Genomic DNA, 27,224 nt, shown 5'->3' with positions numbered 1-27,224 from the left:
CAGACAACAGCTGTCTTAGGGGTCTCCTTCCAGCTCCAAGTAGTTGTATTATCTATAGCTCTGAGAGGGTCTGTCTCTGGGCTCAGGCCTTTAGTACCTGTGGGGCAGAGCCAGGAACGTGAGTCAGGCAAACCGCTCCAAACTAGGACCAATGCAGCTGGGTCCTGCTCTCTGCGCATAGGGGGTCCCCACATCTTTGGAATCCCAGCCCACCTTTCCAGGCTACCCTCCACAGGCCGGGCTCCACTCCCATCTGCTGAGGTTTCCCACCTTGAATCCTGCTGCCCCGATTAGCTGTATAACCTTAAAGAATGCACTGTCCCTCTCCATTAAATGAAGTGCTTGGATGGATTGCTAAAGGCCTGTCTGGCTCGGAGGCTTGGTGACCTCAACACATTGCCTGCTGGTCCAAGGAAATCAGTGCCTGAGCCAGAGTCCCCATCTCTAAGCTCCATGGTTATTGTTCTTGCCACCTGGCTAGGAAATGTCCTTCCAGCTGCCCCAGTCTAGCTGCCTCACCCTGGGGCCATGCCCCCAACTCTGTCCTACCCTTCTCTGCTGCTGACACTCAGCCCCTTCCCAGCTTCCAGTTGGATACAGGACCTGGGCCAGGAGAGCAGGGAGGACACTGTGGAAATGCGGCCAGGCCATCAGGGGCCTCGCAGCAGGGGACTGGAGGGGGAGCAGTGTCCAGGGCCAGAAGTGCCCTGCGGGAGAGCCAGGACATTGGCTGCCTGTGGTCTTGGTGGTCGTGGTCAGTTCCCTCTCCTGCCAGCTGTGGAATGTGAGGCCTGGCCTGGGAGATATTTTTGCTGCACTTTGAGCCACCCCGCCCCCTGGAACTCAGACCCTGCACAGTCCATGCCATAACAATGACGACCACTTCCAATTGTTTCCTAGCTGGAGAGGCGGGGAGGGGAGCACTGTTTGGGAAGGGGGGGAGCCTGGGGGAAATGCTTCTAGTGACAACAGCCCTTTCTAAATCCGGCTAGGGACTGGGTGCCGTTGGGGGTGGGGGTGCCCTGCTGCCCCATATATACAGCCCCTGAGACCAGGTCTGGCTCCACAGCTCTGTCCTGCTCTGTGTCTTTCCCTGCTGCTCTCAGGTAGGAGCGGGAGCTGGAGGCTTTACTCTGGGATAAGGGGGCTCCAGGCTTAGGAAGGGATTCCTCTTGGAATAGCAAGCTTCATGCAGGACTTCATGCAGAGTACCAGGTCCAGTCACTGGGCACACATGTGCAGGTCTAAACATGGGCGTATGTGCCACAGGAGTTCCTAGGGGAAGATATCTGCATCTGAGCATATGGGACCAATATGCATTACAGGGTGTGTGTGTGTGTGTGTGTGTGTGTGTGTGTGTGGACAAGCCTGCATAGTCTGAATGTGAGAAAGGGTATGTACCTCACTGACTGATACAGAAATATCAAGTGGGAGATGTGGGTGTATGATCACGTCTGTGAACGAGGAGGTTCCTTTGCAGGGAGGGAGAAAGAATGGTGGAGAAGGATTCTAGGAAGTGTGTATGCCTTCATGTGATTCTGTGAGGCCTGGAATGTGTAGCTACCCCTGTCCATGCATGCAGAGGTTCTTGTCTATGCCTCCACGAGTCATGACTGTTATAGTATCTGTACCCTCTGCAGAAGGAACTCACAGGCACGGGGGTGTAGGATGTTCCAGGTCTTTGTGTACTGAAGAACACGCAGTGATGTGATCTACTTACGTGGCACACATCCTGAAATGTGCACATTTGCTGTTGAGGCATATATGGCACCCTGGGGTTGGGGTGCGGATTGAGGTATGGGAAGGAAGCCTGTCTTCATGTGAGAGGCATGCCCAAGCAGCAGGCATGAGTGTTCATCAGAGGGCTTGTGGAGGGTGTTTGGCTATGTGATGGGTGTGTCTGTGAGAGGAAGCCCACAGTGTCTTCTCTCTGAGAATGTCCACAAAGTCTGACAACAAAATGGGGACAGGATGGAAAAGAAGTCTCTTTAGAGTCATCAGACTTGCATTCAAGTCTTGGCTCTCCCACTTGTTGTCATGGGCTCTTGGCCAAGCAAGCCATTTAACCTCGATTTCCTCATCTGTCAAATGGGGTGAAGACTGAGTAGGAGAAAGTGCATTGAAGTGCTTTTAGACTGGAAAGTGCCGAACAAATGTGACCATTAGTTGTCTCTCAGATGGCTCAAAGAAAGGTACCACTAGATGGGTACAGGCAGGGGTGGGACCATCTCGCAGGAGTGAAGAGGATTAGGGTTCAGGTTGAGTTGACACCAGGAAGCTGTTAGAACTAGTTCTTGAGGAAAAAGGGAATAGGGTTTGAAAAACAAGAAGGATGGGACCAGAGAAGCTGACCACCCTTTCCACCTTGTTTTGGAAGAGGGTGGATGCTGAAGAACAGAGCCAGGGAGAAGCAGGAAGGTGGGACTGGTCAGGTTGGGCACAGCCTGCCCTGACACAGCCTCTTCCCTCTCTCCAGGTCCCCTGCAGGCCTTGGCCCCTTTCCTCATCTGTAGACACACTTGAGTAGCCCAGGTAAGAAAAGCTGAAGCTAGAGTGTTGAAAATCTAGTAAGACTGGGCATTAGAGCCCCAAAGCCAGCCTATGGAACTCTAGTTTCTGCCATGTGCTGGAGAGAATATCTTGGCTATCAAGAGCTACTTACCTGTGACCAGGGGGTCCAGGGATAGATGAGGGTCAGAGATGGAAATAGTTAGATTTCTGCTCCTACAGGGAGCTCAGAATGCTCTTCCTTCCCCTAGGAGAGCCCCAGCTTGAACAATAGTTAGTTGTTCCTTTTACCCTGGCAGGTTTGCTAGGCTGCTCCTCTGGTTAAGGGGTAACCTCAAAGAGGAAGGGACTCACTGGTAACTCCTCTTGACTCTTGAGCATGGTGCTAGGTTTTGGGGCTCCCACTGAAGGGGAGAGCCCAGGGAGGGAAGGGAAGAATGGGCAGATGGGAGGGCAGCCAGCTTCTGCTCACTCCAGGCACAGCCATGGGAGATTCGGAGATGGCAGTCTTTGGGGCTGCCGCCCCCTACCTGCGCAAGTCAGAGAAGGAGCGGCTAGAAGCGCAGACCAGGCCTTTTGACCTCAAGAAGGATGTCTTCGTGCCTGATGACAAACAGGAGTTTGTCAAGGCCAAGATCGTGTCTCGAGAGGGTGGCAAAGTCACTGCCGAGACCGAGTATGGCAAGGTGGGTGTCAGGCTGATGTGAGAGTCCACCCTGGCCACCTGTACACCTGGGTGGACAGAGAGGGGTACACCCATGCCCCATGCCCATGCAGACCTGAGGATGGTCCCATTCTCCTTCCCTTTGGGGAAGAATCCAGACCCTCCAAAGAGCCCTCTCCTTCCCAATATCCCTTCTGTCTTCCCTGTGAGATCCTGGTTCCTTCTCTCTTGAGCACTATTGCCCTGTCACTCACCAACTCCTAACCCTCTTGAGGAAGGAGGGAAAGCCCAGGCTGACAGGAGGGCTTGGGTGGGGGCTCTTGCAGACAGTGACCGTGAAGGAGGACCAGGTGATGCAGCAGAACCCACCCAAGTTCGACAAAATCGAGGACATGGCCATGCTGACCTTCCTGCATGAGCCCGCGGTGCTCTACAACCTCAAGGATCGCTACGGCTCCTGGATGATCTACGTGAGTGCTGCACCTGGCCCTACGTTGGGATCTCTGTTCTTGCTCCATCCATGTCCACCCCAGGAGCCAAGAGTGTCTTCTGTTTGTGTCTAGGCAGGGTTACACTCTAACCTCGTCCCAACATCCTTGGTTCAATTCCAACACTCTGGGGACTGGCATTACTCAGATTGAGTGCATGCAGAGGTTTTCCTTTCTCTTCTTTCTCTCCTGGGATCTTTCTCTAACTCCCAAAATCACCAGCCCTCCCCCTTCGCAACTGGCAAGTCACTGCTCCTTTTCTATCCCCAGACCTACTCGGGCCTCTTCTGTGTCACCGTCAACCCTTACAAGTGGCTGCCGGTGTACACTCCTGAGGTGGTGGCTGCCTACCGGGGCAAGAAGAGGAGCGAGGCCCCGCCCCACATCTTCTCCATCTCCGACAACGCCTATCAGTACATGCTGACAGGTGAGAGGCCCTGGAAGGGTCTTCCTGAAGGGAACTGGGATAGGCCGGGAGGGAGAGGGAGAAGGAAGGGAGAAGCCCCACGAGAGCATCCTGTGCAGCTCCTGACCTTTCCTCCCCACCCTCTCCCCACAGACAGAGAAAACCAGTCCATCCTGATCACGTGAGTGTAGCTGCTACTGTATTCCCTTTCAGAATCTCCCTGATCCCAGCCTCCAGCCCCATCAGGTGTCCCAGGCCCCGAGGCATAGACTCAGCCTCTTTCCCCCCAACCTCGTGCCCATCTCCTTCTTCTCTGACCATTACCCTGACCCCTCTCTTTGCTCTCCCTCTTCCTTTCTGCTTTCCATCCCCTTCATGTTTTTCCTCTCCCACCTCCTTCACCCACTCTCCAACTCATCACGCGTTTATCCAGAAGCTCATTATCGCCATGTCTTCACCTCTGCATTTTCTTTCCCTTCAGAAACATTTCCCATTCTTCCAGCCCTACCAACTTTTCCCAAAACAGCCCAGGCCCATCTCCCCTGTTTACTTTGCCCAGCCAAGCACAGGCTCAGCCTGCCCAAACCAGTGCCTTCTGGTGGCATCCTTCCTGGTGCCAGCCCTGACCTCTGTGCATCAGAAGACAGTTGTGGATTTTGGGTGTAGATAACCTGGCAGCTTCTTGCCCAGGGCTCCTACTCTCGGGTAGGCCCAGGCATTCTCTCCTGATTTGAGGCTTGCTGGTCTCCAGTAGTATTGTTCACTGCCCAATAAGCCCCTGTCTTCACAGCGGAGAATCCGGAGCAGGGAAGACAGTCAACACCAAGAGGGTCATCCAGTACTTTGCTGTTATTGCAGCCATTGGGGACCGCAGCAAGAAGGACCAGAGCCCGGGCAAGGTAGGCCTGCTGCCCTCCAAGGTCCTGTACCGCAGAAAGGGAGGGAGAAGAGCTCTCACCTGCCTCCTTCTTGGCCTCTGCAGGGCACCCTGGAGGACCAGATCATCCAGGCCAACCCTGCTCTGGAGGCCTTTGGCAATGCCAAGACCGTCCGGAACGACAACTCCTCCCGCTTCGTGAGTGGTCCCTGACCTTGGCCTTGGGACTTGGACTGGTGGAGGAATGGTCTCAGATATGAGCCTTCCCCCAACTCATCACCACTCTCTTCCATCTCTCCAGGGGAAATTCATTCGAATTCATTTTGGGGCAACAGGAAAGTTGGCATCTGCAGACATAGAGACCTGTGAGTGCCATGAATCTGCTAGGCTCAGCCTAAGCTCACCCTTGCTCTAGACCATCTGGTCTTGACCTCTCTCTCTCTCCCCTCCCTCCCTCTGTTTTTCTCCTCTTTAAGTCTCTGTCTGTAGGTGTCTCTGTCTTCAGGTCTACATATCTGTCTCTCTCTGAGACTTCCTCTGCATCTTTCTCCATTTCTGTCTCTGCATGGCTAGGTGTCTTTCTCTGGGATTTCTCTCTGAGACTATTTCTCTCCTTCTGGGTCTCTGTTTCCATCTCTCTGTGTGATCTCTTTGTGTCTGTCCAACTAGTCTCTCTGGCTCTTCCCTTCCCTCTGCCTTTTGCTTGCTACATTTATCATTAATTTTCCTTGTGCCCAAACCCTAACTTTTCTTTCTCTCCTTCTTCTCCCCACCTGTTCACAGATCTTCTGGAAAAATCCAGAGTTATTTTCCAGCTGAAAGCAGAGAGAGATTATCACATTTTCTACCAAATCCTGTCTAACAAAAAGCCTGAGCTGCTGGGTGAGTCAGAGCCACCGACTGAGACCAACTATCTCCATGGCAACCTGGTCCCCTCTGCTTGTGGCTGGACTCAGCTGGCATGCCCTGGGTTTCATGGCACTGCTGGATTCAATTCAGTGGGATGTGGGGCCAAGCCAAGCCCTGTCCTGTGCTCTTCCTCAGGCCATGTGCTGTGGCGAGCAGCCTCCATGAGAGCCGGGGGCTTGTGTCCCACCCTAACCATGTTTTTTCCCCTAGACATGCTGCTGATCACCAACAACCCCTACGATTATGCATTCATCTCCCAAGGAGAGACCACCGTGGCCTCCATTGATGACGCTGAGGAGCTCATGGCCACTGATGTGAGTGTGTGAGGACCCAGCCAGGGGGTGGGAGGATTGGCAGTGAGGGGCAAACAGGGGTCCAAAAGCAGAGCTAAGACGCTGGCCATTGGTTGTTTAAAGTGGTATGGACCTCCTGAGAGCCAGAATGTGCCCTGTGATCAGGGTGTACTGGGGAATGGATGAGGTGAGACAGGACTGGCCAGTATCTGGTGTTCTATCAAACCAGGAAGAGCTGAAAGCCATGAGACAGAGAGACACACAAGCCAAGAAACAAGCATCACCGAGGGAGCAGGACGAGGAGGGAAGGCCATGCAGACGGCATGGGGCTGGAGGGGCTGTTAGGTGAACAGATGCAGACAGGTATGGAAGGCCAGGCAGGAAGCAAGTGTAGGGCCAGGAAGCATAAGTGGGTAACTCAGAAAAGCTGTGGCCACTGACACTGGGGCTGCGGCCAACTGACGTCTGCTCTGCTCTTGCATCTTACATCCTTTGTTTTGGAGTTCCCTGCATCTTACATCCTTTGTTTTGGAGCTCCCCACTGGGTATGGGAGTCTCAGAACCCACAGGGATTAAGGAGACAAGTTTTCTCTCCAACTTACAAGGGATCTCACTTACCCATCATACTTCTTTTTCTGGGGTCCGCCAATATGGGGCCTCCCTACAGAACGCTTTTGATGTGCTGGGCTTCACTTCAGAGGAGAAAAACTCCATGTATAAGCTGACAGGCGCCATCATGCACTTTGGAAACATGAAGTTCAAGCTGAAGCAGCGGGAGGAGCAGGCGGAGCCAGACGGCACTGAAGGTGGGAGGCAGGGATTCTTGGGGGCAGCTGTCAAGTCATGGAGGGCCATGTCTGCTCAGCAGTCATCTCTCTTCTCTTTTTTCTTTTTTTTTTTTTTTTGAGATGGAGTCTTGCTCTGTTGCCCAGGCTGGAGCGCAGTGGCACGATCTTGGCTCACTGCCACCTCCACATCCTGGGTTCAAGTGATTCTCCTGCCTCAGCCTCCCGAGTAGCTGGAATTACAGGCATGCACCACCATGCCTGGCTAATTTTTGTATTTTTAGTAGAGATGGGGTTTCATCATGTTGGCCAGGTTGGTCTCAAACTCCTGACCTCAAGTGATCCGCCTGCCTTGGCCTCCCAAAGTGCTGGGATTACAGGCATGAACCACCACACCTGGCCAGCAGTCATCTCTTTACCAACTTTGCTACTTGCCTTTTCCTTCCAGAGGCTGACAAGTCTGCCTACCTCATGGGGCTGAACTCAGCCGACCTGCTCAAGGGGCTGTGCCACCCTCGGGTGAAAGTGGGCAATGAGTACGTCACCAAGGGGCAGAATGTCCAGCAGGTGGGTCCATCTTCAGATGATAATGGGTGGGCAGGGTAGGGAGACTGGCATGGTGGGATGAGAGTTTTCAAGTTCACTCTTCCCAACAACCCTGCTCAATATGGGTCTCTCCTCCACCTTGCAGGTGATATATGCCACTGGGGCACTGGCCAAGGCAGTGTATGAGAGGATGTTCAACTGGATGGTGACGCGCATCAATGCCACCCTGGAGACCAAGCAGCCACGCCAGTACTTCATAGGAGTCCTGGACATCGCTGGCTTCGAGATCTTCGATGTGAGTTGGGACCCCTGGGAGTGGGAGAACAATCACTCACTCGCTCCCACATTCAACAGCTATTTGCTTAGAGCCAGCTGTGGACCAGACATGGGAAGGCAGTGGGGACTGTGTGGTGACAGAGGCAGTCATTTTCTCTGTCTTCAGGGGAAGCCCTCCTTCACTGCCTTGACATGGAGGGGACCAGCCACGCCCTGCTGGGCTCAGGCACAGTGGACGGGCACAGCCCCAATGGCCACTCACACCCACTTTCTGACTGCTCCCACCCCTCATGCCCCCTGCAGTTCAACAGCTTTGAGCAGCTCTGCATCAACTTCACCAACGAGAAGCTGCAGCAGTTCTTCAACCACCACATGTTTGTGCTGGAGCAGGAGGAGTACAAGAAGGAGGGCATCGAGTGGACATTCATTGACTTTGGCATGGACCTGCAGGCCTGCATTGACCTCATCGAGAAGGTGCCTCTTTGGCCTTACCACCTGAATTCTCCCTGCACACCCAACAAGAACACCATAGACAAAATAGCAGCCCCTCTCCCTTCTGGGGAATATAAAAATAGAAGGGGCTGAAGGATCCGAGCCCTTGGTTCCAGAGCCTATGTTGTGCTGAGCACCCAGGACAGGGTGGCACCAGGGACAGCTGATTTCCCAGGGGCTTGAAAGTGGACACATGGAGGATGGGCACCTGCATGATGACCTCCCACACCTGCATGTTTATTGGGCCTGGTTTATGCATCCAAGGATCAGGAAGTGTGAGGGTGGTGTAGGGGATCATAAGAGTGCACCTATTTTCAACCCTAGCATCTCAGGCATCTGGGTCGTGGAGTGGTGTGTACAGCATCGATAGAATCCATATTCCCAGACTTTCACAAAGGTCCTTCTGTCATCAGACAAAATCCTCCACCTTGAACCGGTTCCAGTCAGTAGATAACTGTACTCAGAGCTGAGCCTACTACCTTAACACCCAACATGGCACCTCCACGAGCAAGTATATTGACCATAGAGCAGAATCCATGTCCACCTGTGTGAAGGACACTCAGTGATGCTCTCTCCTGCTTCCTCAGCCCATGGGCATCATGTCCATCCTGGAAGAGGAGTGCATGTTCCCCAAGGCCACCGACATGACCTTCAAGGCCAAGCTGTTTGACAACCACCTGGGCAAATCCGCCAACTTCCAGAAGCCACGCAATATCAAGGGGAAGCCTGAAGCCCACTTCTCCCTGATCCACTATGCCGGCATCGTGGACTACAACATCATTGGCTGGCTGCAGAAGAACAAGGATCCTCTCAATGAGACTGTCGTGGGCTTGTATCAGAAGTCTTCCCTCAAGCTGCTCAGCACCCTGTTTGCCAACTATGCTGGGGCTGATGCGCGTAAGTAGGGACTGAGGCTCCCGGTACAGAGGAGCAGGGATTCTGCCAAGGTTCTGAGCCAGGTCAATTGCTACACCCCACCACTTCAATGTCAGGTTGTACCCCAAGGTTTACAGACTCAGTGGGATGGAACTGGGTGAAGAAACTGAGGCAGCCACATTGAAGGCCCTCACCCAGGGGCCAAATGCCAGCAAGGATGTAAAGAGGGGCTGTGATTCTTTACTCACACCCTACCTCCCCACACTGATGCTTCTTTTGTTGACTCTCCTTCCTGCAGCTATTGAGAAGGGCAAAGGCAAGGCCAAGAAAGGCTCGTCCTTTCAGACTGTGTCAGCTCTGCACAGGGTGAGTGGGACACAGCCCCAGCCAACTTGGCTCCCCATCTGCCCAACCCCACCCAGCCCCACCCTTCCCTGCCTTGTTCATCCCCTACTCCTCCCGTTCCCTGTCTCCTTGGTGCATTCGGGACCATTTTCACTCTGTCTTCTCTTCCCGTCATCTCCTGGCCTCTTCACTTATTTACTTCCCATCTCCCTTCTCTCCTCTTTCCCTTCTGTCTCCCACCCTCTCTCCTTATCCCTGTCTGCCCCCAGGGCCCCTTCATCTCTGTGACTTCTCGAATTCTCTCCATCTCTCTTTTCCTTCCTTCTTCTCCTCTCTTCTTCCTGCATCTCTTTCTGGCATTTTCTTTACTTTTCTCTATTGCATTTTTGGCCACAGGAAAATCTGAACAAGCTGATGACCAACTTGCGCTCCACCCATCCCCACTTTGTACGTTGTATCATCCCTAATGAGACAAAGTCTCCAGGTGAGGCCACAAACTCAGGCCAACCCACTGCTGGGCATACACCGCCCTGGGAACAGGACCTCCTAGGACATCTCCCTACCTACCACCACAGTGGTTTCCAAACCACATTCTTCTCCTCCCATCCCGCATGAGGCCTCCCAGGGTACCTCCCTCTCAGCGCTACCTTGCACTTGCAGTGTGTAATGAGGGTGATGTGTAAGGCACTCTGATGGACATTACCTCATCAGTGGCCCTACAACCCCTTGGATAGCTGGTTGTCCAAGACAGAATCTTAGTTCAACTTTAAATTTACCTGCAGAACCACTTAATCCCCCAATGAGACATATTCAAATTGTTAATCCATTTTTGGCTAATTAGGAGACAGAGGCTCAGGGACCTGGGTTCAAGACCTGGCTCTGTTCTTGATCAGCTTAGTGAACTTGGGCCAGTCCCATAACCCCTCTGGGCTTAATTTACTCATCTAGAACATTGGATATATCTGTTCTGGCTACCACCTATGATAATAGGTGTGAATCATATAAAAAAGGAATGTGAAAGCCTTTTAGTTAAAAATGTGGCTAGAAGAAAATGAAACAAATGATTATTACTAACTGACTTGCTAAGATTACAAGCTAATCAGTGACAAAGCCAGGATCAGAACCCAGAACTTCAGTCCAGTGTTCTCACAGACTCCTCCTACTTCCTTCTTGCCACAGGGGTGATGGACAACCCCCTGGTCATGCACCAGCTGCGCTGCAATGGTGTGCTGGAGGGCATCCGCATCTGCAGGAAAGGCTTCCCCAACCGCATCCTCTACGGGGACTTCCGGCAGAGGTGGGTATGAGGGTGCACCAGAGCTCATAGAACAGGGGGAGCCAGGCTGCCCTGATGGGAATGGGATCTGCAGGTGACCCTGGAATTCTATGGGCAGAGCAGATCACTGCAGAGCATGGGTGACTCTGGACACTTCCCTCCTCAGGTATCGCATCCTGAACCCAGCGGCCATCCCTGAGGGACAGTTCATTGATAGCAGGAAGGGGGCAGAGAAGCTGCTCAGCTCCCTGGACATTGATCACAACCAGTACAAGTTTGGCCACACCAAGGTGAGGAAAGGAGACTAATTAATTAAAGGAAGACATCTCTTTTCCATTGACTCCTCTGATGCTTTTCCTGTTGTAATCATCTTAGCAAAATCTCTTACCTGTATGCTACCCCTCCCAGTGGAACATCTAGCACCACTCCCCTCATCCCAGCTCCAGCTGCCATTGACCTCCTCCCTGCAATCCTTTTCTAGGCTGTTACCCTTCCTAAGGTAATCCCCACCATCTCTTTCCCTCGTACCCCTCCCTAGTCATGGCCAACACACACCTTGCCTGCAGGTGTTCTTCAAGGCCGGGCTGCTGGGGCTGCTGGAGGAAATGAGGGACGAGAGGCTGAGCCGCATCATCACGCGTATCCAGGCCCAGTCCCGAGGTGTGCTCGCCAGAATGGAGTACAAAAAGCTGCTGGAACGTAGGTGAGAGATCTCAAGAGGAGGTTTCCCGCTTCTCTGAGGCCCAGGCTGGTTCAGGGGCAGTGTCAGGAAAAAAAGCTCAGCAGATCTTCAAACACAGAGACCTGCAGGAGGGGCTCATATGAACACACTGCAGTCACAGGGTCAGAGGCCTCAGGAAGGGTGGGAGGGATGAAGGAAATGGGATATTCCCAAGGTTTCAGGACCTCAGGTAGGAAGGAGGCAGGAGGCTCAGCACTCCTTTCAATGGGCCCCTGCAGAGACTCCCTGCTGGTAATCCAGTGGAACATTCGGGCCTTCATGGGGGTCAAGAATTGGCCCTGGATGAAGCTCTACTTCAAGATCAAGCCGCTGCTGAAGAGTGCAGAAAGAGAGAAGGAGATGGCCTCCATGAAGGAGGAGTTCACACGCCTCAAAGAGGCGCTAGAGAAGTCCGAGGCTCGCCGCAAGGAGCTGGAGGAGAAGATGGTGTCCCTGCTGCAGGAGAAGAATGACCTGCAGCTCCAAGTGCAGGCGGTGAGGCTCCTGGGCTACTGTTGGCTCTTCCACCCTGCTCTGCCTTCACTTCCCACAACCCTGCACCTCCCTGCACAGGGGCTCACTGTCTTGTTCCTTCAGTCAGAGGACTCTGGGATCAACACTTCTAAAGACCTCCAAAGAGGTCCCTCAGGAGGAGGAAAGGGCAGAGGGAAAAGAGCTGACTTTTAAAAGCACAGGCTTTCTACTTGGGTTCAACCTAGATACACAGCTTAATTATTTTGTGACCTTGGGCAGACCATGCATCATCTTTGAGCCTCAATTTCCTCTAGACAGGGAATAAAGCTGTCCATTTCATTAAGCCATCATACATAAGTGCTTGGCATCAGCAAATGCAATTCCCACCCTTCGATGGAGGAGACCAGAGGAAGAGGTCCAGATGAAGATTTCTGGTTCCTTTCCTCTCTGCTCCCCTCCCCAGTGTTCCCAAGTTATACTATCCTGAAACTCTTCCCCTCCCCATACTTCTGAAGCTCTTGCCAAGTGGGGATATCCTAGAGTTACCCTCCTATTTGAGTGATGTGCCTCTCCTTCCCTCTACCTGCAAGAATGAGGACCTTACCCCCTGAACAGCCTCCCCTCTGTTCCTCACCTTCAGGAACAAGACAACCTGGCAGATGCTGAGGAGCGCTGTGATCAGCTGATCAAAAACAAGATTCAGCTGGAGGCCAAGGTGAAGGAGATGAACGAGAGGCTGGAGGATGAGGAGGAGATGAATGCTGAGCTCACTGCCAAGAAGCGCAAGCTGGAAGATGAGTGCTCAGAGCTCAAAAGGGACATCGATGATCTGGAGCTGACACTGGCCAAAGTGGAGAAGGAGAAACACGCAACAGAGAACAAGGTAAGGGCAGCTCCCTTTGGCTCCAGCCCGGGTCTCATCAGGACTCTCAGACCATACTGACCTTGACCCAGGCTAGCCACTCGGCATCCAGAGAGCAGCATGGACCTTGACATGGAGCTCCCCACAGATGGCACCAAGCTGGTGACCTTTGACCCTAAAGGAGATGGGATTCTTGGTCGGCAGGTGAAAAACCTGACAGAGGAGATGGCTGGGCTGGATGAGATCATTGCCAAGCTGACCAAGGAGAAGAAAGCTCTGCAAGAGGCCCACCAACAGGCTCTGGATGACCTTCAGGCCGAGGAGGACAAGGTCAACACCCTGACTAAGGCCAAAGTCAAGCTGGAGCAGCAAGTGGATGATGTGAGTAGATTGAGAGTTGTGGGGCCTAGATATGCCATGTCTATCTGTGCCCAGAGCTCTGTGTGTGTGTGTGTGTGTGTGTGTGTGTGTGTGTGTGTGTGTGTGTGTGTTTGTGTTTATGTTTAGAGGGGGGTAGGGTTAGAGGATGTTAACTTTTCTGATATCTTTCTAGAAAGGAGCTGGGGAATGAAAAGTCAGAGGTGGTGATCAATTCTGAATTATGTATCTAATCTCACTGGTATGATCAATAATAGAGATGAGTTTTCTTATTTAATTTAAGTGCAATCCCATATATCTCTGCCTTTGACACAAGATTTAGAGGGTCATCTCATAAGAACATGATAAATTTCTTTGGAAATTTTGTGAGGCTCCCCAAGTAGAATTTTTGAAATTCCAATATTTAAGGCAGAATCTGATCATTGTTCCCTCTGATGCACATATGTCTGTTGACTCACTTATCACTCTGTATTTTAATTATTTAAGCTTCTATCTCAGCCATAAGACTACAAGCTTCCTTTAGATAGGAACTTAGATCTATTCAATTTGGGGACTGCAGTGCTTAGCACAGAGCCTGATGCCCAGTAGGTGTTTATAGGATGCTGAAAGAATGAATACGGCGGCCAGCCGCGGTGGCTCACACCTGTAATCCCAGCACTTTGGGAGGCCAAGGCGGGTGGATCACGAGGTCAAGAGATCGAGACCATCCTGGCCAATATGGTGAAACCCCATCTCTACTAAAAATACAAAAATTAGCTGGATGTGGTGGCGTGCGCCTGTAGTCCCAGCTACTCAGGAGGCTGAGGCAGAATAATCCCTTGAACCAGGGAGGCGGAGGTTGCAGTGAGCCGAGATCGCGCCACTGCACTCCAGCCTGGCGACAGAGTGAGACTCCATAAAAAAAAAAAAAAAAAAAAGGAGGAAGGAAGGAAGGAAGGAGAGAAAGAAAGGAGAGAAAGAAAGAAAGAAAGAAAGGGAAAGAAAGAAAGAATACGGCTTTGGGGTTTCATCCCACAGTCATTTATTCCTTTATCTATAAAATATTGATTCAGCATCCCCTATATCTAGGCAATCTCACAGTCCCCTAATAACATTTGGCCCACTCTGGGGAAGGTTTCCCAAGTCCTGAACACAAAGATTTACCAAGTCCTGAGGTAACTGAACAACAAAATCACCAAGTCAGGATGCTTTGCCTCACTGGGCCTGGCTCCTTCTCTCTACCAGCTGGAAGGATCCCTGGAGCAAGAGAAGAAGGTGCGCATGGACCTGGAGCGAGCGAAGCGGAAGCTGGAGGGCGACCTGAAGCTGACCCAGGAGAGCATCATGGACCTGGAGAATGACAAGCAGCAGCTGGATGAGCGGCTGAAAAAGTACTGTGTCCCCTCCCTGCTGCCCTTCCTCCTCCCCAGCCCATAACAGTACAAGCAGACCCAAGACAGCCATCCTCTGAGGCAACAACCTCACGCAGCCTCCACAAGTGGAGGCGCAAACCATGGGAAAAGGCCTCCCAGGCAAGGGCTTTCCTCCCCTAGTCCCAGATATCAGGGTTAGTTAGATGGTCCTCCCTGGCAAAAAGTCCATTGTATCCCATGAGTCCTTTCTTCTTGTTAGGCACTCAGTGGGAATGAAAATAACAGCCTTCCCCCTTCATACACATCTCTCTTTGGAGACCAGTTCCTTGACATGGAGGAAGGCTCCACATGAGAGCCTCTTAGGAAAGTCCCTTTGTGGCTTTTCACAGAGAGCCCACAGGGCACCAAGAAATGCCCTCACATTAAAGAAGTCAGGGGATCAGGGCCATTTCTTTGTTTTGCTTAACTTGTGGTTCCAATTCTTAGTGTAAGTTCTTCCAAAATGTATAGACTTTCCAGACTTGGTAAACAGTGAGCTTGCAGAACATATTTTGATAATTGAAGGTCTTATGGTGTTTCAGGCTCAGGACTTTGAAAGGCTTTGAGAATCATCATAATCTACATCCTCATCAAGTTTGTGTTTGCACAGGAATCTTCATACCTTCCCAGGCACAGAATGTGTTGAATAAATGAATAAATACACGATCCTATTTGATTCTCAAAACACCTTTTAAGGATGGTATCTTTAATTTCACTTTACCAAAGAGGAAAATAAGTTTCAGAAAGGTTAGCTGAGTTACCCAAAGCAATAGTGACAAAATTAAAGACCATCAGAGCTAAAAAGGACCTTTGAAACAATCTAGTCCGACCCCCTCATTTTACATTATGAGAAAACAAGGACCAAAGATGGGAATGTCCTGTAGAGCCCAGGCCCCATCACCCTGTCTACAGCACTCCTCCCATTACATTCTTGTTGGATTTCAATCTCACCGCAGGTGTTACACTTCCAGGGATCCTACATCACCCCCAGAAGCTGTTTTTCTAATGAAATCCTACTCTTTACCTGTATCATTACCATTTTCAACCACTGGTGGACCCTCCTGAGGCCCCACGAGTCTCCCTTACCTCACCATCCCTCCTTCCCCACAGAAAAGACTTTGAGCTGAATGCTCTCAACGCAAGGATTGAGGATGAACAGGCCCTCGGCAGCCAGCTGCAGAAGAAGCTCAAGGAGCTTCAGGTGAGGTCTGGACACCCACGCGGGATGCTGAGTCCCTGGGCTGGTTCTGTTTCCCCTGCCCCCTCCTCTAGGGTGTCCTGTTCACAGCATTACAGGAACTGATTATGTGTCCATGGAGGCAGGCACGCAGCTATCACAGTGTGCCCATGGATACATCCAAAAGGGGTCAGGTGATCCACAGAGACCCTGAAAAGGTCACAGGCCTGGAGGGCAGAATTCCTGGCTTCCTGTCTCAGCTCTGCCTTAGTTGGGTGACCTCTGGGAGCCCACTCCAGATCTCTGGGTCTCCATGCCCTCCCCTGTTACATGGAGGTTTTTAAGAGTCCTTCGACTCTGATGGCATGACTTTCCTCCTTACTCTAGAGCAGAAGCTGTGTTAGGTCTTTAGTTGTCTGGTCAGACAAATACGGCTCTCTCATTTTCAACTTTTGTTATTTTTTTATGACTAAACTGCTTAAAATATCCCCAGAACACAGGTCTCTTTGTCCATCTTTAAGAGCAAGTTTCAACCACTTTCCTTCCAATAAAGAGCATGTAGACTGTCAGGCCCTCGCCTAAAGGAAGGCTCTTCAAACTATCTTCCCCAAATCCTTTAATTCCCACCTCTCCACTGGAAGAGCTAAACTGACTTGCTGTTCCAGAGAAGCCGAGAGCCTTTTAGAGCCGGGGGGATTCCAGTGGAGGGGTCCAGGCGGTGGGTCTGAGCCCTTTGTGTCTGACCAGGCACGCATCGAGGAGCTGGAGGAGGAGCTGGAGGCCGAGCGCACCGCCAGGGCTAAGGTGGAGAAGCTGCGCTCAGACCTGTCTCGGGAGCTGGAGGAGATCAGCGAGCGGCTGGAAGAGGCCGGCGGGGCCACGTCCGTGCAGATCGAGATGAACAAGAAGCGCGAGGCCGAGTTCCAGAAGATGCGGCGGGACCTGGAGGAGGCCACGCTGCAGCACGAGGCCACTGCCGCGGCCCTGCGCAAGAAGCACGCCGACAGCGTGGCCGAGCTGGGCGAGCAGATCGACAACCTGCAGCGGGTGAAGCAGAAGCTGGAGAAGGAGAAGAGCGAGTTCAAGCTGGAGCTGGATGACGTCACCTCCAACATGGAGCAGATCATCAAGGCCAAGGCAGGCTCTGCTCGGCCTCCCCTCCTCCAACTTCCTCCTCCCACCTCCCCTTTCTGTCCATGTAGTGTCTCTTCCTTCATGGTTCATTTTCCCACTTCCCTTCCTCTGCCTGGTTCTCAGATCCCCTCCTTCTTTTCACACCTTCCCTCTTCTTTTCTCCTTCAGTTGCACCTCTTACACCCCTTCATTCCCCCCGCCCCCAACATCCATCATATAACTCTCCTTCCCTTCTCAGGCTAACCTGGAGAAGATGTGCCGGACCTTGGAAGACCAGATGAATGAGCACCGGAGCAAGGCGGAGGAGACCCAGCGTTCTGTCAACGACCTCACCAGCCAGCGGGCCAAGTTGCAAACCGAGAATGGTGAGCCTAGAGCAGGGGCTCCATGGTTCCCACCACAGTCTCCCCAACCTCCTGAGCCACTCCAGCCTCGGGCACAAGCCAATACACGCACACACAGACACAGAGTCTCTCCAGAAAATGGGGCCTGAGGGCTAGAGGAGGAGGTGGGGATAGAGAGGAGTGCTGATCTAGAATGGTGCTTCCCCAGGTGAGCTGTCCCGGCAGCTGGATGAGAAGGAGGCACTGATCTCCCAGCTGACCCGAGGCAAGCTCACCTACACCCAGCAGCTGGAGGACCTCAAGAGGCAGCTGGAGGAGGAGGTTAAGGTAAGGGCTAGACTCGGGCCACCTGGCCCAAGCAAGGAGCACACTGACTAGCCTTGCATCAAATCACTTCCCTTCCCAGCAATAAGGCTGGCTGTGGACCAACAGTTCTCCAAGAATTCTAAAAAGAAATCACAGCCCAAACCCTGCCACATGCCATCTACTCCCCAGGCTGAGGCCCTCTGCTTCTGCTGCATCCCTGGACGGGAGGCAGGGTGTGAGAAGGAGGAGAGAAAATGAACTAGGGAGGCACGAGATGGCCTTGCCCGGGCACGGCTAGGGGATGTAGGGACTGCACAAATGGGTCCTGGGATTTGCAGGGCCACCTGAAAACTGGAGAAAGAAATTCAACTGGAGCCTATTCCTAGCACTTTGCTGGACTCATGAAAAAGGAGAAAGAACATGATTTTTAAAAAACTCCAGGGTTCATACTAACCTGCCTCTTATAGCTCAGTGATCTTAGGTTAGGGAAGTCCCCTAACCTTTCTGAGCCTGTTTCCCTCTCCCCAGCCAGGTAAAATGGCGGTGATGATGACCATGTCTGGTGTGGGGAGGAGCTCAGGGCCAATGGCCATGAAGCTTTTCTTAAATAGTTCACTGCTGTATTGGCATTCTTTGTTATCAGCAAACAGTAAACCATGACAGGTCCACTGGGGGTTTGGACATAGATGAGGCCAAGGGATGATGTTGAGATTGGGGTGAGGAGAAGGGCAAGGGTGGGGTTGCTTTATGGAGAAAGCTGAACCCACCTCCTGGTGCCCACCCCTCCCCAGGCGAAGAACGCCCTGGCCCACGCACTGCAGTCGGCCCGGCATGACTGCGACCTGCTGCGGGAGCAGTACGAGGAGGAGACGGAGGCCAAGGCCGAGCTGCAGCGCGTCCTTTCCAAGGCCAACTCGGAGGTGGCCCAGTGGAGGACCAAGTATGAGACGGACGCCATTCAGCGGACTGAGGAGCTCGAGGAGGCCAAGTGAGTTCTGAGCAGCCTGACTTCTGGCTGAGGCCCCTTTGCAGGCAGGACTCAGCCCAGCCCCAGCCTCAGCAGATCCCACACAGGCGATGCTTAGCTAGTGTTTGACAACACAGGAGGACTCTGCCCCGGCCCCACCTCCTTCTCCTCTCAGGGAAGCTTTTTGCTCGAATTATGTTTCTGATCCGAATATAAGACGAACAAAAGGTTTGTCTGAGGGCAGAGTGCTTCCGTCTGGGGCAGGGCACTGTGGCAGGGAAAGGCAGTGGGGAGGGCTGCAGAAGCCCATACCTCCTCAATGTCCATAGCGCAGAGGCTGGGCCAGGGTCAGAGGGTGCCTGGGTCTCCACGCCCTGCTGGGATCCTCTGCCTGATGTTCTCGGCCCCTGGGACCTGTCCTCAGGCTTCTCCAGCTACACTTCTGAGGTTTCAAGGATTGTCTTTGAGAAGGTTCATGTTGTTTCCTCTTGTCCCCATCCACACCCTCCATCCTCCCCACCCTCTGCCACCCTCCCCTGGGCAGGAAGAAGCTGGCCCAGCGGCTGCAGGAAGCTGAGGAGGCCGTGGAGGCTGTTAATGCCAAGTGCTCCTCGCTGGAGAAGACCAAGCACCGGCTACAGAATGAGATCGAGGACTTGATGGTGGACGTAGAGCGCTCCAATGCTGCTGCTGCAGCCCTGGACAAGAAGCAGAGGAACTTCGACAAGGTGGGCCCTGGGTGGGGGCCGCAGCCAGCATGCAGGGCAAGGGGGCATGAGGGGTTCAGTGAGAGGCCAGAGCCATCCTCCTTGGAGGTGGGGGAGGAGGGCTGAGCCCAGGCAGGTCCTGAGACAGACCCTGGACATGGGGCTGAGGCTGGGGGGCTGAAGAGTGAGCCTTGTCCCCGGGCAGATCCTGGCCGAGTGGAAGCAGAAGTATGAGGAGTCGCAGTCGGAGCTGGAGTCCTCGCAGAAGGAGGCTCGCTCCCTCAGCACAGAGCTCTTCAAACTCAAGAACGCCTATGAGGAGTCCCTGGAACATCTGGAGACCTTCAAGCGGGAGAACAAAAACCTGCAGGGTGTGCTGGGGGCCCAAGAGGCTGGGGAGGGGCTGCACTGGCAGTGTTCCCATATGGTGCCACCCAAGGGCTCCAAGAGGCGTCTGGGCAAAGAGGCGTGTCCCTCCAACTCCACTGGACCTCAGCAGCCCTCAACCGAGTTACCGTGTTCCCCACACAGAGGAGATCTCCGACTTGACTGAGCAGTTGGGTTCCAGCGGAAAGACTATCCATGAGCTGGAGAAGGTCCGAAAGCAGCTGGAGGCCGAGAAGATGGAGCTGCAGTCAGCCCTGGAGGAGGCCGAGGTGTGTGTGTGTGCAGGGCACGGGGTGCAGGGAGCTGAGCTCCAGGCTTTTGGTCCCTGTTCTCATCCCCCGCTTTGTCCGTTTTGTTCACTGTCCCATCCCCAGAGCCTAGGACAGAGCCTGGCACATAGTAGGCATTCAGTGAAGATTTGTGGAGTGAATGAATGACCAGTCACTGAACTCTCTTCACATAAACATTTTACCCATTGCATCTTAGCTGAGCTTCCCATTTCCACATACCTCCCGGTTCCCACCTCTGCCTCCCTCTGTTTTCTTTTATACTCTATACCTGATTGCCTCTGTTTCCTTGGCAACACTTTTCTCTTCATTTTCCTCCTTGTCTTCATAGCTGGCTCTCCCCTGTGAGGGCCTGAATCACTTTCTCTTAGGCTTATTTTTATTTTCTCTTAGATTCTCTTTTCCTCCACCTTCTGCTTCTTTGAACCACTTACACCACTCTTGAAGTCACTTCGTATCCATGATTAGTGAGCAGGCCCCCACCCTGCCCTGTGCCCTGACTGTCTGCCTGCATCCCCTCCCCCAACCCCTTCCCAGGCCTCCCTGGAGCACGAGGAGGGCAAGATCCTCCGGGCCCAGCTGGAGTTCAACCAGATCAAGGCAGAGATCGAGCGGAAGCTGGCAGAGAAGGACGAGGAGATGGAACAGGCCAAGCGCAACCACCTGCGGGTGGTGGACTCGCTGCAGACCTCCCTGGACGCAGAGACACGCAGCCGCAACGAGGCCCTGAGGGTGAAGAAGAAGATGGAAGGAGACCTCAATGAGATGGAGATCCAGCTCAGCCACGCCAACCGCATGGCCGCCGAGGCCCAGAAGCAAGTCAAGAGCCTCCAGAGCTTGTTGAAGGTACTCACCCAGAGGGGACTGGCCTCCACGTGGCCTGGCGAAGCAGTAGTGTCTTGATACAGGCACCAGATTCCTCCTGCCCCTAGGTTACTGCAGGGACCTCTGACAGGTGCCTTTAGTGAAGGGAACCGAGGCTGGCTCCCTGCTCATGCCCACTCTCCTGATCCTCAGGACACCCAGATTCAGCTGGACGATGCAGTCCGTGCCAACGACGACCTGAAGGAGAACATCGCCATCGTGGAGCGGCGCAACAACCTGCTGCAGGCTGAGCTGGAGGAGTTGCGTGCCGTGGTGGAGCAGACAGAGCGGTCCCGGAAGCTGGCGGAGCAGGAGCTGATTGAGACTAGTGAGCGGGTGCAGCTGCTGCATTCCCAGGTGAGCAGCTCCCCTGCTCATTCCTGAAGGGAGCACAGGCTGGGGCTCAGCAAGCAAGGCTTGAGAGCTATGCATAGATGCTCAATGCTTTTCCTGCTCTGCCCAACCCTCCCCCAACCCAGAACACCAGCCTCATCAACCAGAAGAAGAAGATGGATGCTGACCTGTCCCAGCTCCAGACTGAAGTGGAGGAGGCAGTGCAGGAGTGCAGGAATGCTGAGGAGAAGGCCAAGAAGGCCATCACGGATGTAAGTCCCCCACTCCACCGACCCGATCCAGACCAGTGTCTCTCCGTGGGCTGGGCAGCAAGTGTGTGAGGACTTGACCAGACCATGTGCCACCTCTCTCCTGCACACAGGCCGCCATGATGGCAGAGGAGCTGAAGAAGGAGCAGGACACCAGCGCCCACCTGGAGCGCATGAAGAAGAACATGGAACAGACCATTAAGGACCTGCAGCACCGGCTGGACGAAGCCGAGCAGATCGCCCTCAAGGGCGGCAAGAAGCAGCTGCAGAAGCTGGAAGCGCGGGTGCGGGAGCTGGAGAATGAGCTGGAGGCCGAGCAGAAGCGCAACGCAGAGTCGGTGAAGGGCATGAGGAAGAGCGAGCGGCGCATCAAGGAGCTCACCTACCAGGTGCGACGGGCGGTGACTCCAGGCAGAGCCCTGGCACCATAGCCACAGTGACAACCAGCTGAGGAGAATGAAGAGTTTGCTCTTAGCCTCTTCCAGGGCGAGGATGGGAATGCAGCCCCCGTTTCACTTTGCCTAGCCCTGCCCCACTCTGAATGTCCCCTAGCTCAGAGGTCAGTCTCTGAGCCTCCTGGCCTGGGAGCTCCATCTCAACACCCACTCTTAGCCCATCGCCAGGGGACACACACAGAATTCCAGACAAAGCTCACCCAGTACAGCTCACCAGAAAGCAAATATGTAGCCAGGGTCACCCCCAAAAGACACCAAAAACACACCCATCCCATTCAAACAAGCATAAAAACTTTTTCATTGCCCAGGGCAGTGTGGACTCTAGCTTTCTGAGGTGTTTTCTAGAATCAGACTCTGAATTAGAATTTGTTTCTTTTCCAATCCAGGATGTCACTATCTCTCTAAGCACACTTTGTCCTTAACTTAGATTAAGTCAGTGTTTTCCTGGCCTGCATTGCAGCCCAGGAAATTCCATCACACTCATAGCCCCAAAGTCACTCCCAGCATGTGCCGAGGTCCAGAGCAGGGGACTTCATCCCGCATGGGGTCCCCGGACCCTGAAAAACCTGCTCCCTGGAGCACTGCACACACACAATTTTGTGCATAATTTCAGGAGTCCCACTAGTTCTTTGGACTCTTTCCTGGTACAGATCATTTAAAATATTTACACATATTTGGTAAGAAATTATAAGGAGAATTCAAGTGTTTAGTGAGGATCAGAAAGTAGAATTGGGTCAGGATATCAGATGAAGCAGGGCAGGGCGGAGGGGATGCTACCTTCTATGACTGTGCCATCTTCACCCCCTGCCTACCCTCTGGCCCCCAGACGGAGGAGGACAGGAAAAACCTGCTGCGGCTGCAGGACCTGGTAGACAAGCTGCAGCTAAAGGTCAAGGCCTACAAGCGCCAGGCCGAGGAGGCGGTGAGTGACCCTGCTGGGGACTAGGCCCAGGGGAGGCATAGGAGAGCTCGTCCCCCAAGCCAGGAGTCTGAGAACCCAGGCCCCCTCTCACCTCATGCTCCCACCTCCCGCAGGAGGAGCAAGCCAACACCAACCTGTCCAAGTTCCGCAAGGTGCAGCACGAGCTGGATGAGGCAGAGGAGCGGGCGGACATCGCCGAGTCCCAGGTCAACAAGCTGCGGGCCAAGAGCCGTGACATTGGCACGAAGGTGGGTCCCTCTTTTGGGCTTTGCTAGTCACCCCCACAGCAGGCATACCCAGACAGAGCACCCTCAAACCCGGGATGCTTCCTTTTCATTTATTCCACACACTTGAGCCACATGGCCCCAGAGGCCAAGGTAATGCAGTTCTCTGTGATTTCAAGGATTCTTCCAGCTCTAACTTTTTTTTTTTTTTTTTTTGAGACGGTGTCTCACTCTGCCGCCCAGGCTGGAGTGCAGTGGCACAATCTCAGCTCACTGCAACCTCTGCCTCCTGGGTTCTCCTGCCTCAGCCTCCCAAGTAGCTGGGATTATAGGCATGTGCTACCATGTCTAGCTAATTTTTATATTTTAGTAGAGATGCGGTTTCACCATGTTGGCCAGGCTGGTCTTGAACTCCTGACCTTGTGATCCACTCGCCTCAGCCTCCCAAAGTACGGGATTACAGGCGTGAGCCACCACTCCCAGCTCAGCTCTAAGTTTCAGTGGTTCTGGGAATTTCAGCCTTAGGGAGGGGTGCCACCCTAGAAGACCCTAATTTATATACAACCAGTATATCCCAGTTTCCCCCCAACTGCTAGTTTCCAGTTCCCTTCCACCTAATTTTGTCCTGCAATCTTGTAACTCAAACCTAAAATGGACATCCCAGAGAACCCGGGCCTGGCTTTGTTCTCGCCCAGGCAACTTCCCTCTGACCAACCCCAGAACCCTACCCTCCAGAACTTGCCCCCCGAACATCGATCCCTGGAAACACATGTGCTGCTGCCACAGGGGCTTCCACCTGCCCACAAAGCAGGCCCCCCACCATCAGACCCCTCTCACCTTTGTTCCCATGCCCTGTCCCTGCCCAATACCATCTCTCCAAGGACTGATTGGACTTTGTTTCCTTTCAAAAGGGCTTGAATGAGGAGTAGCTTTGCCACATCTTGATCTGCTCAGCCCTGGAGGTGCCAGCAAAGCCCCATGCTGGAGCCTGTGTAACAGCTCCTTGGGAGGAAGCAGAATAAAGCAATTTTCCTTGAAGCCGAGATCCTGACTCCAGACTCTTCTTCACTGCCCTGAGGACCCGGGGATGGGGTCTGGACTAGGGGAGGTGGAAATGCAGGGGAGTGGGGGCAAATTCAAAGGCCTGGCCTAGGAGGCCTTCGTGGAGCAGCACTGAAAACCCCTTTCACTTCCCCCAAACCAGCCAAATGCAGCAGAGGCGACACCTCTCCTCCCAGCCTTCTCCCTGGTCCAGCCAGGATTTAAAGGAGATTTAGGGAGACCCCTAAAGTTCACCTAGAGCACCCTGAGCCCATCTACTGTGGACCTGCACCCCAGCTTCCGTCAACCCTGCCCCACCCACCACCATGGATACTGCCCAGGGCTGGGCAAAGGGCAGCGGTTCGGGGTGTGGGTGCTGGCCAGTGCCCTTTCTGAGCCCGCAGAAGTGTGAACCACTGGGCCAGGTGAGGCAATGGCTGCCTAAGTGCCAGTCCCAGGCGAGTCTCTGAGAGTACACAAGGATTCACAGCTGTAGCCTGCATCCCCTTTTAAATAGAGCCACCACCCTCTCCAGCCACCGCCAGAAGCCAGCATACCCCCTGCCCACCACAGGTGGGAGAAACACACCCTCAGCCCACCTGCCGTCCTCCTCAGCTCCTCCTGGTGCCGAGCCCCCTTGGCCCAGGGTGCTCCCTTCTTCCCACTCATTTCTTCCCATTGTAATTCCCATTACCAAGCCCTTTGTCCTCTGGGCTTGTGGGAAGATGGGGTTCTCCTGGCCCATTTATGGCAAGCCATCTTGAGGGGAGGCAGACAGATGAGGGGCTGGGGAAGGTTATGTGTGAACAGGACTCTGGGGAGAGGGAGGGAAGGGATGGCTCCCGAGAGGGCCAGGAGGTGGAGGAAAGAGTAAGTCTCCTCCAACTAAACAAGTTCAGCCCCTTTGGAGTTCCTGCCACAGCTGGGTTGCTTAGGCAGGCCTGGGACTGTGGGCCACAGAGGTCAGGGGCTTGAAAGGCACTGGGGCTGTCGGCCCCACTGGGAACCTGGGAAGCAGTGGTTCAGCCCTGGACTGGATCTCCCCCAACCCACCAACATACCCACTCGGAGCCCACTCCTGCTCTGTACCCAGCTCTGAGCTCGGAGCTCTGAGGACTGCGGCAGCCAGAGCCAAGGGCCCTAAGCCGGAGAAGGAGAAACCAGTACTGGACAATAGCAGGTGACAGCAGAGGAGAAAAAGGGGGTAGGGAGGGGACAAGGAAAGACCTGAGGGGGTGGCAGTGGACAAAGAGATTGAGCAACCACAGGACAAGGTAACCAGAGGAAACAGAGACAAGGAAAAAAGATGCAGGAAATGAGGAGGCCCCAGAAAGATCCGCAGGCGCCGCCACCTTTCTCCTCATAGCCACCTCCATTCTCCTTCCCTAGGCCAACCCAGACAGAGCTCCCTCAAACCAGGGATGCTTCCTTTTCATTTATCCAGCTCAATTGAACCACACAGCCCCAGAGGCCAAGGTAATTCAGTTCTCTGTGATTTCTAGGATTCTTTCAGCCTTTTTGTTTTTGTTTTTGTTTTTGTGACGGAGTCTCACTCTGCTGCCCAGGCTGGAGTGCAGTGGCACAACCTCGGCTTGGGCCGAGATCCCTAGGGCCATTCCTCTGGCTAGGAACAGACTTGGACAGCAATGAAGAGATAACTAGAAACAAAGGAGAGAACCCTTGAAAAGGGAGCTATGCAGAGAGACCCAGGGCACCTAAGCAACCAGAGCAAGAGAGACCGCAAGAGATACAGATCCTATGAGAATGGTCGGGGGCTGGATGCAGACAGCAGGGTTGAGAGAGGTCTGAGAGCCAAGCCAGGGAGAAGGAGGGGTGCTGAGGGGGATGGGGAGAGAGGAAAAGAGAGGGAGCCTTGGAGGGAGAAGCTTGAAGAGCTGCGGGTGGTGATCCCGAGTGAAGGAAAGAATCCTGGGTCACTTGCAAATGCAAGGAGAGTCAGGAAGGCGCAAGGAGATTGGAGAGGAGGAAGAGCCTGGAGCAAGATGTGGAGGCCCAGGGCGAGAGAAGAGGCCAGCTCGGAGAGGGCAGAGCCTCATGTTAGACCCTGAGCCGGGTGGAGACACGGGCCAGGGAGAATCGGAGGCAGGCCCCACTCTGAGATGGAGAAGCAGGCAGAGGGAATGAAGGTGAGACAGAGACAGATGCAACGGGGAGCCAGGCAGAAGACAGGCAACCTGTGCCAGGGAGGCCAGCCTTGCCTCCTTGGCACCCTCACCTGTGGCCGAAGCCTCCATCCCTGTCCTTATATTCCAGGACTCCCAGCAGAATGAGGAGCTGTGTGCAAGGCAGCTTAGGGAGGACGGAGAGCAATATGTGAGAGCAGGGAGAGAAGGAGCCTGGGGAAGGGAGAGGACGGTACAGCGGAGCAGACGGGCAGGGCCTGGGGCTGAGTGAACACCTTCCTTCCTCCTCCTTCCACAGGAGCGGGGGACTACCCCCCACCACCTCCACTCCCCGCTGCCCTGCCACCACCACCTATACCAAGTGAGGCCTGCTCAGAGCACAGGGTTCCCTGAGGACAAAGCCTGGTCTTTGTCACCTGACCCCGACCCAGACTGACCTGGCGTTCTCAGCTCCTTATCATGTCCCCAGAGCTATGGGAACCAAGCAGTGACGCACTGGCCATGGGCTAACCCCCCGGCTCGAATTCTGGGGCCTCGAGTAACCTAGAGCTGGGGACAGGTGGCCTGCATCCCCTGGGGGTAATGATTTGGCATAAGCACCTGCAGAAGATGGGGATGTGGGGTCAACTAAGGTCCCTCCAAGGACATTGAGAAAAGGTCCAAATGCTCTGGAAAGAGAGGTGTGTTCCTGAGCCCAGGAATGGGGTGGCAGCGTCCTAGGGAGCTAGGGGAGAGGCCACATCTTAATGGAAAGTGCTCCTACCCAGAGAAGCTGACCCCTGTCGTCCTACCCACCTCCACACCCTGGAGCTATATTGAGAGGTGACAGTAAACTGGTGGGAGGGGGGCTGGGAGGGTGTTCCTGGGTGTGAGGGTGGGGGGAAGGCCAGAGCAGGGGAGTCTGGCTTTGTTTCCTGAACACAATGTCCACTTAGTCATAACAGGAACAGCCTGCTGAAGACCTGACACCTACAGCCTCTGAGAGATGGCAGCATTGGAGGATGGGGAGCGGGGCCTTGAGGGCCTAGGGTGCTTGAGGACACCCACAAAGAAGGGAATGTGAGTATAAGCCCTGGAGGGCTTGGAAAGGGGCAAC

General features: G+C 53.8%; 1 protein-coding gene, 1 long non-coding RNA gene and 1 other non-coding gene across 4 annotated transcripts, besides 3 other annotated features; 2 read left to right on the top strand and 1 right to left on the bottom strand.

Annotated features, from left to right (window-relative positions):
* Positions 369–1,206: an enhancer, noted in NCBI's record as "H3K4me1 hESC enhancer chr14:23904729-23905566 (GRCh37/hg19 assembly coordinates)". NCBI's record gives its function as "activates a minimal SCP1, AML or CMV promoter by ChIP-STARR-seq in naive H9 embryonic stem cells {active_cell/tissue: H9 hESC(naive)}" and the evidence as "EXISTENCE:reporter gene assay evidence [ECO:0000049][PMID:30033119]".
* Positions 1,066–23,986, top strand: MYH7 (myosin heavy chain 7). 2 transcript variants are annotated; one of them, NM_000257.4, is made up of 40 exons: positions 1,066–1,106; positions 2,477–2,532; positions 2,986–3,194; positions 3,499–3,642; positions 3,931–4,087; positions 4,220–4,247; positions 4,857–4,965; positions 5,049–5,141; positions 5,245–5,308; positions 5,727–5,825; positions 6,063–6,166; positions 6,813–6,951; positions 7,379–7,497; positions 7,622–7,771; positions 8,056–8,226; positions 8,832–9,141; positions 9,419–9,486; positions 9,862–9,949; positions 10,645–10,762; positions 10,908–11,031; positions 11,308–11,444; positions 11,702–11,957; positions 12,577–12,819; positions 13,003–13,179; positions 14,401–14,546; positions 15,678–15,768; positions 16,492–16,881; positions 17,117–17,243; positions 17,431–17,549; positions 18,320–18,516; positions 19,040–19,223; positions 19,408–19,573; positions 19,734–19,858; positions 20,414–20,722; positions 20,894–21,097; positions 21,220–21,345; positions 21,456–21,731; positions 22,624–22,719; positions 22,833–22,967; positions 23,855–23,986. In NM_000257.4, the coding sequence occupies exons 3-40, from the start codon at positions 2,994–2,996 to the stop codon at positions 23,870–23,872; spliced, it is 5,808 nt and encodes a 1,935-aa protein (NP_000248.2). In that variant the 5' UTR covers positions 1,066–1,106; positions 2,477–2,532; positions 2,986–2,993; the 3' UTR covers positions 23,873–23,986. The 2 variants fall into 2 exon arrangements, with proteins under 2 accessions (NP_000248.2, NP_001393933.1); NM_001407004.1 differs by lacking the exon at positions 2,477–2,532.
* Positions 11,127–12,326: an enhancer, noted in NCBI's record as "BRD4-independent group 4 enhancer chr14:23893609-23894808 (GRCh37/hg19 assembly coordinates)". NCBI's record gives its function as "activates an origin of replication core promoter dependent on BRD2, P300/CBP, MED14 and CDK7 cofactors, and independent of BRD4, by STARR-seq in HCT116 cells {active_cell/tissue: HCT116}" and the evidence as "EXISTENCE:reporter gene assay evidence [ECO:0000049][PMID:35650434]".
* Positions 18,663–18,739, top strand: MIR208B (microRNA 208b). Its single transcript, NR_030624.1, has one exon. It is a non-coding gene; the product is annotated as a microRNA 208b (primary transcript).
* MHRT (myosin heavy chain associated RNA transcript) lies at positions 19,131–21,276 on the bottom strand. The gene is made up of 6 exons (NR_126491.1): positions 21,225–21,276; positions 20,897–21,105; positions 20,429–20,725; positions 19,718–19,810; positions 19,353–19,514; positions 19,131–19,193 (listed from the first exon to the last, which is right to left on the bottom strand). It is a non-coding gene; the product is annotated as a myosin heavy chain associated RNA transcript (long non-coding RNA).
* Positions 20,281–21,480: an enhancer, noted in NCBI's record as "BRD4-independent group 4 enhancer chr14:23884455-23885654 (GRCh37/hg19 assembly coordinates)". NCBI's record gives its function as "activates an origin of replication core promoter dependent on BRD2, P300/CBP, MED14 and CDK7 cofactors, and independent of BRD4, by STARR-seq in HCT116 cells {active_cell/tissue: HCT116}" and the evidence as "EXISTENCE:reporter gene assay evidence [ECO:0000049][PMID:35650434]".

Source organism: Homo sapiens, chromosome 14 (genome assembly GCF_000001405.40).
Source record: "Homo sapiens chromosome 14, GRCh38.p14 Primary Assembly".
Classification (NCBI taxonomy): Eukaryota; Metazoa; Chordata; class Mammalia; order Primates; family Hominidae; genus Homo; species Homo sapiens.
The sequence above is the reverse complement of the archived record's forward strand: the minus strand, read 5'-3'. Positions and strand labels throughout refer to the sequence as shown.